General features: G+C 35.9%; 1 long non-coding RNA gene across 1 annotated transcript in view; it reads right to left on the bottom strand.

Annotated features, from left to right (window-relative positions):
* Window positions 1-1,158: 1,158 nt before the first annotated feature.
* Window positions 1,159-14,537, bottom strand: part of LOC107986774 (uncharacterized) — a 92,330-nt gene continuing 78,951 nt past the window's right edge. The window contains exons 2-5 of the long non-coding RNA XR_001745112.2: window positions 4,157-4,261; window positions 2,108-2,676; window positions 1,788-1,857; window positions 1,159-1,202 (exon numbers count right to left, since the gene is read on the bottom strand). This is a non-coding gene — a long non-coding RNA (uncharacterized LOC107986774). The remainder of the gene's footprint in view (window positions 1,203-1,787; window positions 1,858-2,107; window positions 2,677-4,156; window positions 4,262-14,537) is intronic.

Genomic DNA, 14,537 nt, shown 5'->3' with positions numbered 1-14,537 from the left:
TTATAGCCAGCAACATCAACTCACCTTTGCAAGAAAATAAAACAACATGATAATAAATTAATATTTTGCTAAAATTCTTTTTTATCAAGTTTTATTACACAGAATTTATATTCAGTCCTGTATTTATAAACTTCATTTCCATATGCTTCAGTTGTGGTTATCATTTAATTCAGACCCAGGCAATAGATTTTTAGTTCTATTTTTTAAAGTTCAGCAAATATAGCTTCTCAGTACTTAATATGACTACATGTCTTGGATGTTTAGAAAATATTTCAAATAGGCTTTTCTACTGTTTTGAAATATTTACAGCCTCCTTTCCAGATACATTTATGATTTTAAGAGAAACAGTTAGTTTAACTACATTGGATAAAATTTTTTTGGCATTCATCTTCAGTATGTAGTGGCTAGTAGAGAATCAATCATTTTCTCCTAATACGTTACCCATTAGAATTGAGTATTTTATTTCCCTCATCCTAATCTACGATAATCACTACCAGATGAGCCCAATTTTAAGAACAGCCCATTATTTCCATAGTACTATTTGTATCCTCTATGTATGCTAAATAAGGAGGCCAAAAATCTCAGTTTGGAAGCTTATTCAACAAATGAACTTGATGGCTGGTCTATTTATTACTCTGCTTTTGCAGATATAGTGCTATGACTAAACTCAGATGCAGGTAAACTACAACACTATGTTTTTCAGCTTCAGGGACTCCAGCCTATTCAAATACATTTTTATAAATAAAATAGATTTTTAAAAAGTCTTTAGAGATATATCTTTTAAAATTTGTGATAGAATTTCTTTCCTATCTGACTTACTGTTGACCTCATTAAAATTACTGGTACAGAAAAGCAATTCCAGTCCTAGTTCCAAAAGAAAATAACATGTAAAGACACAGGAGTGAGTGAGAGGATTAAAAGATATTTTGAAACTCCTTTTTAAACCATATGCCATTGCATTTTCCCTTGCTGAATTTTAGGTAACTTCCCAAAGATTACAGAACAAGCATTGGAGACAGGTCTCATTCCTGGGTTGGCTGGCTCTGAAGCTGTACATTAAACATATTTTCCTGCATTGTCTCCCGTGGATATTAGATTAATATTTGACAAAGCATGTTCAATTAGACTCAAAACAATTCAACAAAATTTGAGAACCTACCATGATCCAGTTCCAAGACGCCTGACACTGTAGAGCTCACATTCTGGTAGGGGGAAACAATGAACAATAAACATAATAAATAAGTTATCCATTGTATTGGAAGATTATATACGCTATGGGAGAAAAATTGCAGATATAGAGGATGTTGGAATATTTGTGAATTGATTATTTTTGAATTGTTTTAGATTTGTTAGCTTGTACCCCCCATGGGAAACAACTTTATAACCTAGAATACGGTGATTTTATCTGGCTTATATTGATAATACAGAGTGAAATCTTACAGTCTTCACTCATTTCCAAAGTTACTTAGGTAACTTTGCAATCCAAAGTAGTTACCTAAAGTTTGCTGTTTTGTGTATATGTGTGTTTACTTTTATTGTATATTTGTTTTTCTAAACTCTTCGGCACAATTTTCTGGGGGCATTCAGACTGCCACAATATAAGTCGGGAGAGGACGTTTTCTTTGTACTGCCAATTCTGATCATTTAAATTTTGGTTTGTTTGGGTTGTGACTTTTTTGAAGTCTGAGTTCTTTATTTGTAACAATTATACTTTTATTTTTCTATGTCCTCTAATGCCAGTTTTTTCTCCCCCCTCCCCCCAACCACGTCTACATTCACAGTTGTACCGTATTATTAGGAAAGGCGCCTTGATGAAAAGATCAGGATAGGAGCTCTGACCATTCGACAGTGTTTTCCCTAAAGTAATAAAAATAAAATACAATAAAAAACCCAAAGAGCATCTTTCCTCGTTTTTGTTTGTTTGTTTGTTTGTTTACATCTCTTGTGCTGCATCAGTAGACAGAACTTTGGTCAGTTTCATGAAATGCAATATCTAACCCCTTGTTTTCTGGGAAAGGAAAAAGGAACTGCAATGACACGAAGTTGAGAATGTGGATACCGCCTCATTCACCCACACTCATTCTCAGACTGTAAAAAAATTCCTTACCTTCCTTCTAGCTGGCAGGCATACAGTACCACGTGGCAAAGATACAGAGAAGGTGGGCTTGAGACTCGGCTCCATCTTTCTCCTCAGTAGCAAAGGTCAGGCTGCCTTTTACAACAAAGCACCACAGCTGACACAACCCCTCCTCCTCTCCCAAACCAGTCATTCCAATTGGCTCCGGCCAGAAGGCAGAAAAGCTACTTCTAGCCTCTCCTGGGAAGAAATAGTTGTGTTTTTTGTTTGTTTGTTTGTTTTTTGTTTTTCTTAAATAAGTAACTCCATTGTTTTTCTCTTTTCCAAGATGGCTGATGTTCTGGTTTCTACGAAGTCGGTGCTTACTTAGGTCACTAACACCACTGCTGTTGGTGGCTGCAGCTGCTGCCGTGGCAGGATTTTCAATGTGGTCTGTTTTCAAGCATCACTCATTTATCCTCTCATTCCCAAACATTCAGCATCCTTGCACACTCCTCACTTATATTTTAGCTCACCTCTTCAGGGAGATTGTGTTCTTAATTGTGATGTGATTAGATTTTTTATTACAGTCTGCATTCCATCCTGGATCCCATGAATTCCTAAATAATTTTAATTAGAAACAACAAAAACAGATATATCAGCCTTGGCAACATAGAGAGACCTATCTCTACAAACGAATTTAAAAATTAGCCAGGTGTGGTGGCACATGCCTTAGCTACTCAAGAGGCTGAGGTGAGCAGATTGCTTAAGCCCAGGTGATCAAGGTTACAGTGAACTATGATCGTGCCACTGCACTTTAGCTTGGGTGACAGAGTGAGTGCCCATCTCTAAAATAAATAATTTTAAAATAATAAGGTAAAATAGAATTATGTACATTAAGGTATGATCTTGGTGCTGTAAAGTTGTATGAGTTTTGAAAAATGCACAGTTTCATATACCAACTGCTATAGTATAATTCCAAATACTTTTACCACCCCCAAATCGCCCATGTTTCACATATTAAACCCCGAGCTCCTCCTGCAGAACTTCTGACAATCACTGTTCTTTCTACTGTCTGTCTCTATAGTTTTGCTTTTTCCTAAATGTCACAAACTCGGAATCATATAGTATATATTCTTTTCTTACTGGGTTCTTTAAGTTTGAATATACATTTAAGGTTCATCTATATCATTTGTGACTTGATAGGCGTGATGATTAATTTTATGTGCTCACTTGACTGGGCCAGGGGGTATCCAGATATTTGGTCAAACATTATTTTAGATTTTAAGATGATATTAACATTTAAATAGGTAGACTGTAAATCAGGTTTCCCTCCCTAATATGAGTGGCCCTTATGGCAATCAGCTGAAGGCCTAAATAGAACTACAAGTCTGACTCTTCTATCAGTAAGAGGGAACTCCTCCTGCCTATAGTTAAAAACAGTCAATGCAAACAGCTGGAATGACAAAAACTGAATTGATAACCAAAACTCTTCATTAATGAAATGAAATAGTGTTAGCCAGATTGTGATGAGGTATATGATACCACGGTCCCCACATTCATGATGTGAGAGTTTGCTGAAGCCTCAAGCCCAAGCATCCAAGTTCAAAATTTGGAGTCTTCAGGAAACCTTCCCTCTCAGGTCTGGCTGCTATCTCATTAAGAAGATTTTAATTTATCTTGCTCATGTGAATACCATTCACCAGCTCTTCCTAAATTGGATATTAGCAGTTTCCTTAGTGCAGCAGAACTATTGTGCTGAGCAGAAAGAAGGAAATGCAAAATGTGAAGTTCAGAAACTAATTTTCAGTCTTGCCAATTGGGTCTCCAACTCCCACGACAGTAGTAACCATTTCTACACCTGGATGTCATTAAATTCATGTTGTTCTTCATGCCAAAATGAAATCAGAGCTTAACATGGACAGTAAACACCTGGGACAAAATTGCTGAAATGTTTTCACATAAGAAAAACCAAAAACAATCAAATAAAAACTGCCTATGGCCTTTGCTCTACTGCCAATACTTTTAATTCAGTAGGAAGAGGTAGGTTCTACCACTAAGATACTCTTCATTAAAATGAAAAGAAAATTAAATAACTACCTTATGAATTTGATCTATGTAGGCAGAGAATATTCTAGCTGAGTAATACCTTCAATGGCAGGGCAGAAACACTGTCCTTAATGTGTGTTTATTACCAACATTTACCTGGAAAAAATAGAATGTATATAAATGAGTATATTTTCCAGTTTTTCTCTCTCATTCTCTAAATGATGGTGTTCTCAATCAGGGGAAAAACTGTGTCTGGGGAAATACAAGAATCTTAAAAGTAAGTAGAGCCTGTTCTTTATGTTCAATAAAGTACATTCAAATTAAACAATTATAATTTTGAAAAAAAAACTATTGCTTTTTTAAATGCAGTAATGCTCAATAAAGCATACCCTATCCCCTTTACAGGAGGATATATCAAAATCTCCTGGGGGGAAAGCATAATATTTTTAGATCATAATAATATGCAGACAAGGGTTTAAAAAGATCTAAAATGTTTTACTGCAAAATATGGCTATTTCTAAATGGCACTTCTTTTCGTAATTAGACATATTACATTTTGCATGTTTTACAAGGACCTTCAACCTTTTAAAAGAACTATGGTCTAAATATTACCATAAACATTGCTCAAACCATTTGAAAATTCTCATCTTCAAAAAGCTAATGTAACTGACAAGCAGGATAAGAAAATACACCACTTTCCTTTACATTCCTATACCTATAGCCTATATTTGTGTAACTGTGCAAAGCCATTGGATCTGGCCCCACAGTATACTATATATTAACCCAATCGTGTTTTAAAGTAGTGGTTTATTAAGAAACTAAAAACCCTATAAAAATGCAAACTCCTGGGCCTTAACCTGAGAAATTCAGATTCATCTAGTTATTTTAGAAAATTCTGAGGTAATTTATGGGAAACCATGCATTTTGATAAACATTACATTAATGAATGGAAATCTGCTTCCATGAAGGAAAGCTAGAAGAGCATGCCAGAGGCTCCGAGGACATTTTAAAATAACATCTATAAGTAGCTTTGGGCTATGACACCAACAGTTTAATAAGTGCATAGTCTTCCCAGTTAATAAACTTCAAGGCAGAGTTTTCTTGAATGCTTGAATTGTAAGTTCATCTTTCTATGAAACCCACTGTGCCATCACTTATGGTATAGTCTAGGGCATGCTATTTCTGGCCTCTTTCTTCACTGACAGAAACCCTCTGGACCACGATATATTATCCCATGCACAGACTACTGTCTTCTGTGCATGGGATGATATGCCTGGTCTCCGGTGATTTTTGCTACCTGCCCTCTTCCTGCATTCTTCCATTCTTCCCCAGCTCCACATTATTTGGAGTTTCCCAGCTAGTAGCACATTTTGACTGTTAGGAAGAAAAGCTACTATCCATTGAATAACAAGCTGGGGAGCTGCTCAATAGCAGTCCCTAAGTGCCTGCCACCTTCCTGAGTAGAACACATTGCCTGGAGGAAAAAAAAAAAAGGAAATAGTTCCAATAATTTTGTAAGTTAATCATTTGCATTAGGTATAGACAAACTTTTGACACTTAAGATTGTAAAATATTAAACATGTTATAGCTTTCTCTGGAAGCCTCTAGGATGATTAACATGAAATTCTACTGGAAGTCCAAGGGAGAAATTTTGAGTTTCTGAGAGTCATGTTGTTTTCTGCTTGTTTCCTTTTGCCAACTGGGAAGGATTATCCCCATCTGGATTATTCTTGTTACTCCCCAAGGGCCAAATGTCTTTGGGTTCCTTAGTTTGAGAGTAAAGGATGGGGGAGAAGGCAGGGGACAAAGGAATGCAGATTCTTCACTCCATACTGTTATCAGACATTCTTGTTGATCCTTAAGACTAAAAACTGTGTAGTGCTCACTCTAAAATATAAACAATCCTGCATTCAAATTGGAAAAAAGTTTATATTTTTAATATACATTTTTGACAAATGCAACTTATCACTTAAGTTACATTATTACTGAATTCAACAAAGCTGTAATCTGAAATAGATTTTTAATACTTCTCCCAAGAATATTAAGTCAATGGCCTCTAATAATATGTGTGTATTTTGTTTACAAAGAAAATGAGCATGGATATTTATTTCCAGATGTGCTTAGAATATCAACTTTTGTATATTAACAAAAGGTTGTATCAGCTTATCCCTTTCCTTAGTTTAAAAATAAAGCTTTTATTTTTAAAACCTTCTATTTCACAGTTTTTCAGTTATCTACGCATTTGAATTATTTCTAGCATTCTTTCTTCTAATTAACATACTCCTGATAAAAAAAATTGATAATATTTATAGTGTTTATGCACTACCTGCAGAGCATTGATTCCTAACTAGGGTAATTCATATGCCAAAAACCACTTGGGCTTAGATTAAAGTAAATCAGACACATACAGCACACTGTACTGAAACATTTTAAAATAAATTACTACATGAACAATTTAACACATTCTAAGAATATCAGCTAAATTTAAATTCTAGAACAATAGCTATTTGAAATTTAAAAATCTTTGTGTCACCACAGGCATCCCACAGCAACTCAAATGCAACATGTCCCAAACCAGCCATTCCTGTGCCCCCATTTTCAGTGAAAAAAACCGTGGGCTATAACTGTGCATTATATTTCATTCTTTTTGCTCCTTCACCCATCACAATATAAATTTCCAAAATCCATGAATTCTAACTACCGAACATCATGAGCATCCATTTCCCTTTTTCATTCTCAAAGACCCACTCTTATTCCAGGCAGTCATTTTTTTCTCCACAGGGTTTCCACAGTATTTTCTTAAATGAGTTCCCTGCATTCAGTTTTCTCTCTCAAAATTATCCTACAATTCCACTAATCTCTCTGAAGCGGTAGTACTATTCTCTCATTTCTGCTCCTGGGCCACTTTCACCACCTTAGCATAGGGTCTTCAGGAGTAAGGCCCTTCAGAATCTCATCTTGGCTTATTTCTATACCCTTGAGAGTCATTCACTTCCTGTTTTCTTCTCTAGTACCCATCTACACAGCAATTCTTTTACATCTTCAAAATGTCCTATTCTACCTTGCCTCAGGGCTGTGCACATACTATTTTTGCTCCTGAAACAACTCCACCTACCCCCAAGCAACTTCATTGCTTTATTTGACTAGCTTTTCATTTAGGGGTTAGAGATTATTTGTTCTAGAAGTTTCCTTTATCTATGTTTTAACAGCATCTGTGTATCTACTGCTGTGACTCCTCTCATACTCTGTTTGCCATAGACTATAACCTCCAGGAGGGCAAGGAGCAATATTAATGCTGTTCATTATAATATATCCAGGCACAGTGCCTCACATATAATATATATATTTAAAATATACTTTTTGAGTAGACTAGTTCATTTTAAGTATCCATTTTCAGGGTATAAAAGCTGCATCTTCTCTATTGATAACAATGCTCAGGTTTATACACAACATATAAAGAGCAACATCAAGATAAATAGCTCCAGACTCAGTACCTTATGTGATGGTCATGATTCCCAGAAGAAATAGTCAAAATACTTAACAACTGGTATGACATGGCAGCAACCAATCAGGACAGACCACCAAGCAATCAGGCTCAGCCATAAACAAATAGAATTGCTGCACTGATGCATACCCACTAAAATATACCTTTTGTCAATACCTCACTGAAATTTATAAATGACATTGTCATCTAAACAAATTATTGATTGACTGCATCTCTCATCTTTTAGGTACTGAATTGTCATAACAAATCCTGACTCTTGAAGGAGTCATTCAATGAGTGGTAGAAGGAACTGGGACTTTGGAGAGGTCGAGGCTTGACGCTTCTTCCTAAGGGCTGTGGGTCCTCAGGCATCACTTACCTCTCAGAGTCTGGAAACAGGGATCATAACACCTACTTTTCAGAGGCTTATGAGGAGTATATCAGTGTGTGTCTAGGTCCTCACTGTGGTTGACACAAAGTAGGAGTGATCTTGGATGATATTCTTCACTCCTCATGGCCCCTGCATGGATTATTTTCTTTGTTTCTCTAACCTCTACTTCTCCAATAGACTGTTCCAAAAAGGAAATAAAGAGATAAGCAATATATTTTTCTTAGTAATTTTTTTATTAACCCTATTCTAATTCTGGTTTTCTTCTCTTCTATAAACTTTGCATTTGTTGCTGATATTCATCATGCTACTATCTGAAGCCTCAAGAAACAGTCTGGCCAAAAAGTCTTTAGACAATGGCTCAGGGCCTTTTGTCTTATAAAATTCAACCTGCAGTGAAATTCCATTGAAAGATATATTCTTGTTGTAGTGCCCAACCCTCAAATGAATATTCCCGAAGGATCTATCTTTGTTTGTTTCATAGTCTTACACTCATGACTTCAAGTGATATCTCCCAGTCTACGTCTATACCATGTGCTCTTCATCTGACATACACACTTGTTTTTCTCTTGATTGATTATCTCAGCCCTAATGTTTCAAAATAATTATTTCTCCTCCCATTCTACATTTCCAAAGCTCTACATCATCTCCCTCCACCAAATCCTACCCTTAACACCTACCTAAGTCAACGAAATCAGAAATCTGCGACCCACCTGAGGTTGCTCTATCTCTCATCACCTCTACCTCAGACAATACCTGTCCTTTCTGCCTTTAATTAATTTATTTACACACTCATTCATTCAGTTATTTAATGAGAATTCACTGAATGGCTATTATATTTCAGGTACACTGAGGAAAACAGGAGACAAAGACAGACTTGGCTCCTGCCCTCAATGAGGAAAAGGGAGGAATCAAAACATGACTTGGTTTTGGGATTTTCTTCTTACTTCAAATGATTCAAATGATTTTTGTGAAGCTCAAACTGAACAAATAGGTAAAAATACATTATAAATTTGCAATAGTCTATTCTGCCTTGTACTATAGTTAATTTTATGTATGTCTATCTTTTTTCCCCAGATAAGTGAGGGGGCCACATGCCATTCATCTTGGCAGAGTGTCTTGCACCTAGACTATAATTAATGAGTGTTCACTGAGTTAAAAGAGTGAGATGAAGTGAATGCTGAAATGACAAAAACTGTATATGATAAATAATCTCCATTGAGAAATATATTCACAACTTTCCATTTCAGGCTTTTAAAAGTAAATTGTAAGTTATTAATCATTCTTCCAGCTACATTTTTAAGCATCCATGAATGGAGTGAACCAAGCACTTAATGACACAGTACTTCCCTGAGGAATAGTCAGGGTCAGTGAATTGAGATATGCGTTGAATCACCACCTGGTTGTAGATATTTGGGAAAAAAATTAAATGCTTCCTCTCAAAACCTAAGTTCCCTAAGTGCTTCCCCTTTGATTAGATCCTCTCCCCTATGAATTGTCCTAAATTTATTCGTAAAAGACACTTATTATTATTAAGTGGCTGCGAGCAAGGCCATGGCTTCTGCAGACACCACAATTTTGACCTCCTAGAAACATGGCTTCCCAGACAGTGGTAAGAAGCTACTCTGTTAATGGTCTCAACACAGCAGGATAGTAATTTGCCCAAGGATAAGTCTTAAACCTGCAAGGAAGAACATTTAATGGAATAAAAAAATCCCCTTCCCCATATTTGCACCTGACACAATATGTTATTATCTTTATAAATATTAAATATAAGAGTAGACAAAGAGTTAAAAGAAAGCCAAGAGAAAATATAATGTGTGTGCTCCATTTCGAATTCCTATGATTTATAAGTTGTTTTTAACCTGCTTATTTGTTTCTGGACTGGTATAAAAATAGCATGTTCAGTGTGTTCTCCCTCTTAAGAATACTAGAGGAGTTCAATGGGAGGGAAGGGAATAGAATAAGTAATGAAAAGTTTACCATGCAAATTTCAGCTCAACAAATAATGCAGTACTTCTTCTTTAGACTAACATACATTTTATGAGAGCTATTTTTAAATGTATGCCTTCTCTGTTGACTTTGTACTTAAGGGAGTCTACAGAAAACATTTGTATTGATATTTCTAAAATGAACTTACTCATTTGGTAGAGTATTTCTGATTCATCCATCCTACTCTTTTAATATGAAGTAGCCCTACTTTGATTAGATATTAGCTGAGTACTCTTTCTTCTACTATATTTAGGTGACTACTCTTTCTTCTACTCTATTTAGGTGACTACTCTTTCTTCTACTAAGGATACTCTATTTATAATTGCTAATTAAGGAGAAGTTAAGGCTCATCCACAATTCCTCCACAGGAAGAACAGCTTATGTAAGACTTGTTCAAAACAGCATGCGTATTTACACTGTGACTAGAAATCAAACTTCTCCACTGAGACAGACTCTTGCCTGGCCAGCATCAGTAATCTCCTATCCCATTTCTAGTAAGAGAACTTCAGTTTTCAGGCTGGGCGCGGTGGCTCACGCCTGTAATCCCAGCACTTTGAGAGGCTGAGGTGGGCGGATCACCTGAGGTCAGGAGTTTGAGACAAGCCTGGTCAACATGGCAAAACCCCATCTCTACTAAAAAAAAAATACAAAAATGAGCCAGGCATGGTGGCGCACCTTGGAAGGCTGAGGCAGGAGGTTTGCTTGAACCCAGGAGGCAGAAGCTGCAGTGAGCTGAGATCACGCCCCTGCACTCTAGCCTGGGTGACAGAGTGAGACTGTCAAAAAAAAAAAAAAAAGAGCTTCAGTTTTCCTTTAGAGAACTAACTTTCTACTCTCATTCAATCAGAGCAACTGTGATCGGTTCAGAATGGGCACAGGATACAACTTGAGCTCAAGAGTCCCACTCTAGAATTTCACTACTTGAAAAAAGCCTTTCCTTCTTCTGATGTTGCTAAACTTTTAGAAAATAATTCTCAATTTTTCAGGACCCTTGCATAGAATGAGCCAATCTGAGAAAAGAGCCAATGCAGAAGAATACAGAATCCAAATATAGAGAAACATTTTCGTGAAGTTATTGCTGAGTTCTTAGATCTACCTTTGATTAGAGCTCACAGCATACCTGCTTCCTTAGTTAAATAAGCCAACATAGATGCTTTGTTTAAGCTAGTTTAACTTTTAGTTGGGTTTTCATCACTTACAACTCAAAACAAAAATTCTCACGCATTTTCTTTCTGCAGAACTAGCAGGTTTTAAAGGGTTTTCTGTTCAACCATCCTAAAAGATAACAAGAACTTTTTCCATAACTGAGCTGTAGTTGGTTGAGTCCTGACTCATCACTTAATATGCAAGTGAAAATTGAACGACAGTATTAGATGGTTGATACTGCCTTAAATATCTAGTACAGTTTTCATTAGAGTTTTCTGAGTAGCAGATGTACAAATGCTTACCTTTCCCTTACAGCACACTTTTATAGGTTTTCTAGAAGTCTTGCTGGATATTCCCAACTATAATTCCCATACTGGGACACTGTTCCAGCTCTCCTCTGTCTACTGGTAGTACACTCCTCTACTGAACATCTCTCTGTGGTCACTTCAATAGTCTAGAAACTCTCTTGGGAAGAATCTTTTTTAATAACACACCTTGAATTGACTTTTGTATATGGTTCAAGATGCGTTTAGTTCTCTACGGATATCCAACAGACTAAACACCATTTAGGTAAAATAACTTCCTTCACTCATTGTACTTTGTCATAAAACAAATGATATGTGTTTTCTCTCTTCATGATGTTTTTCCCTCTTTTCTGTAAGGAAACAGAGGGACAAATCATTTGAGTCCTTAGGGATGAGCTGACTCAAAATAGATTTACAATCATTGTAAGTCTTAGTCACCCCTGATTTACTCCATTAGAGAGTAATCCTTCAGGATTCCCAGCTGAGAGATTCAGGCATATCCTCAGCAACCTAAAAAAAACAAAACTAGCTCTTCTTTCTAGTTTCCCTCTGGTAGGATTCTTAGCTGCTTACCCTGCAGAACTTAGTCAACAGAAGCACCAAGGGTAAAACTGATGTGGCATATTACTGTCATTTGTCTGTGCCTCTCTTTTCTCAGAAATCTTGCAACTTCAAGTTGTGAGTGCTTTTGCAGCCTTATATCCGACTTTTTGGCTCCTCGGTCATGTAAGATTTCTTAAAATGCGTTGGCCTCTCATAACAAGCTTTTCAGCCTCTTTATAAGCCTTGAATTGCAAAATGCCCCAAGAACAAAAGCAACATACGGAGAAAACTATTAGATCACATGTCAGTGCAATTAAAAATAGGAAAACAATAGAGCTATGAATAAAATAAAAAACTGGTTCTTTGGGGAGATCAGTAAAATTGACAAATCTCTAGGTAAGCTAAACAGGAAATAAGAAGGGAGAAGGTACAATTTACCAATATCAGAAATAAAGTGAGGTCATCACTGTTGATCCCATAATACGAACAACTCTATGCTCACAGATTTTATAACTTAGATAAAACTAACAAATTTCTTGAAAGACACAAACCACCAAAACCTCAAACAGGGAGTAATAAATCATCTGAATAGGCCTACATCTATTAAATGGATTTAATCAACAATTAATAATGCTCCACAAAAGAAATAATTAGGCCCAGATGGCTTCTCTGAATTTTATCAAGCATTTACAGAAAAATATGATACTTGTCCTCCACAATTTATGCCAGAAAATAGAAACAGAAGAATGCTTGCTAACTTAATGAGGTCAGCATTACCCTAATACCAAAACTGAAGAAAGACCAGTATCTCTCATTAACATAGATACAAAAACCCTCCTCAAAATATTAGCAAATTAAATCTGAAAAGGTATAAAAATGTTTTACACCATGACCAAGTAGGATTTATTCTAAGCATACAAAGCTGATTCAATGTTGGAAAATCAGTGATGCATAAAAAGCATTTGACAATATCTGATGTCTATTTCATTCAAGAAAAAACTCTGAGCAAACCAAGAATATGGTGGTGTTTCAACTTGATAAAGAACATATACAAAAAGCTGACAGCTAATATAATACTTAATAGTGAGTAATTGGATGCTTTCACTCTAACATTAGAAACAAGGTAAGTTTGGCTTTACTCACCACTCCTATTCAACATCATACCAGAAGTCCTAGCTAGTGCAATGAGACAAAAATAAATAAATAAAAGGTAAACAGATTGGGATGGAATAAATAAAACTCTTTTTGTTCACAGATCATTTGGTTCTATAGGTAGAAAAATCTCAAGAATCAGTAAAAATCTCCTGGATTAATAAACTATAATAGCAACATTGCAACATACAAGGTAAAGCTTCAAAAGTATTTTGCTTTACTATAAGCCAACAATGAACAATTAGTATTGGAAATTTTCAAAATATACGTCAGTTAAAACAGCACCCTCAGAAATGCAATACCAAAGTATAAATCTAATAACATATATATGATGTATAAAAGTAAAGAGATAATCCATGATCATGGAAGGAAAGATCCAACTGATTTGAAATATTACATCCATACAAAAATCTGAACACAAATGTTTATAATAACTATGTTTATAATTAGCAAAAGATAGAAACAACATTCAAGAGATGAATGAATAAACAAACTGTAGTACCCTCATACAATAGAGTATTATTTAGGGATTATCTTAGTTTATTTGGGTGCTATAACAAAATACCTTCAACAGGGTAATTTAGAAATAGTAGAAATTTATTCTTCACAGTTCTGGAGGCTGGGAAATCTAAGACCAAGGCACTAGCTGATTCAGTGTCTGGTAAAATTTCACTCTCTGCTCCATAGAAAGCACTTCGCTGCCATGTCCTCACATGGCAGAAGGGGCAAGGCATCTCCCTTCAACCTCTTTTATATGGCACTTATCCCATTTATGAGGGTCACCTCCTTAAGACCCCACCTTTAATATTATTGCATTGGGTGTTAGGTTTTATTTGAATTTGGGGAGGACATCAACATTCAGACTAAATAGCAGCTATAAAAACAAAAGAGCAATCAAGCTACAAAAAGATATGGATAATTTTTACATGCATATTGCTGAGTGAAAGAACCAAGTCTGAAAGCCTATGTAGTATTTGACTACAATTACATGGCATTCTGGATAAAGTAAAACTATAGATATAGTAAACAGTTCAGTGGAAGATATGGGTTCCACAGAAAGGTTGGATAGGTGAATCATGGGGGTTTTTTGGAAGCAGTGAACCTCTTCTTTACGCTATCTGATGGTACGTACATGGCATTATAAACATGTCAAAACCCATAGAACTTTCTAGCATGGAGGTAACCTTAATGTTTGCAAATGTTATAAAAATAATTTAGGAGGCTGAGAATCCCAGGAAGTAATGTAGATTGCCACAAGATAATCTAACTGTATTACAAGTGTTGGAAACAATCTCACAGAACTGAATGGAGTAAAAGGTGCTAACCCAAATAACTTTAGAAGTGAGTGGAGTCTGTAAGACTAAAGGCAAAAGGAACTGCACTTAAGCCCTATACCTCAGGTGATAAACTTCATTCCTACAG

The sequence above is a fragment of the Homo sapiens genome, chromosome 7, assembly GCF_000001405.40.
Source record: "Homo sapiens chromosome 7, GRCh38.p14 Primary Assembly".
Lineage (NCBI taxonomy): Eukaryota > Metazoa > Chordata > Mammalia > Primates > Hominidae > Homo > Homo sapiens.
The sequence above is the reverse complement of the archived record's forward strand: the minus strand, read 5'-3'. Positions and strand labels throughout refer to the sequence as shown.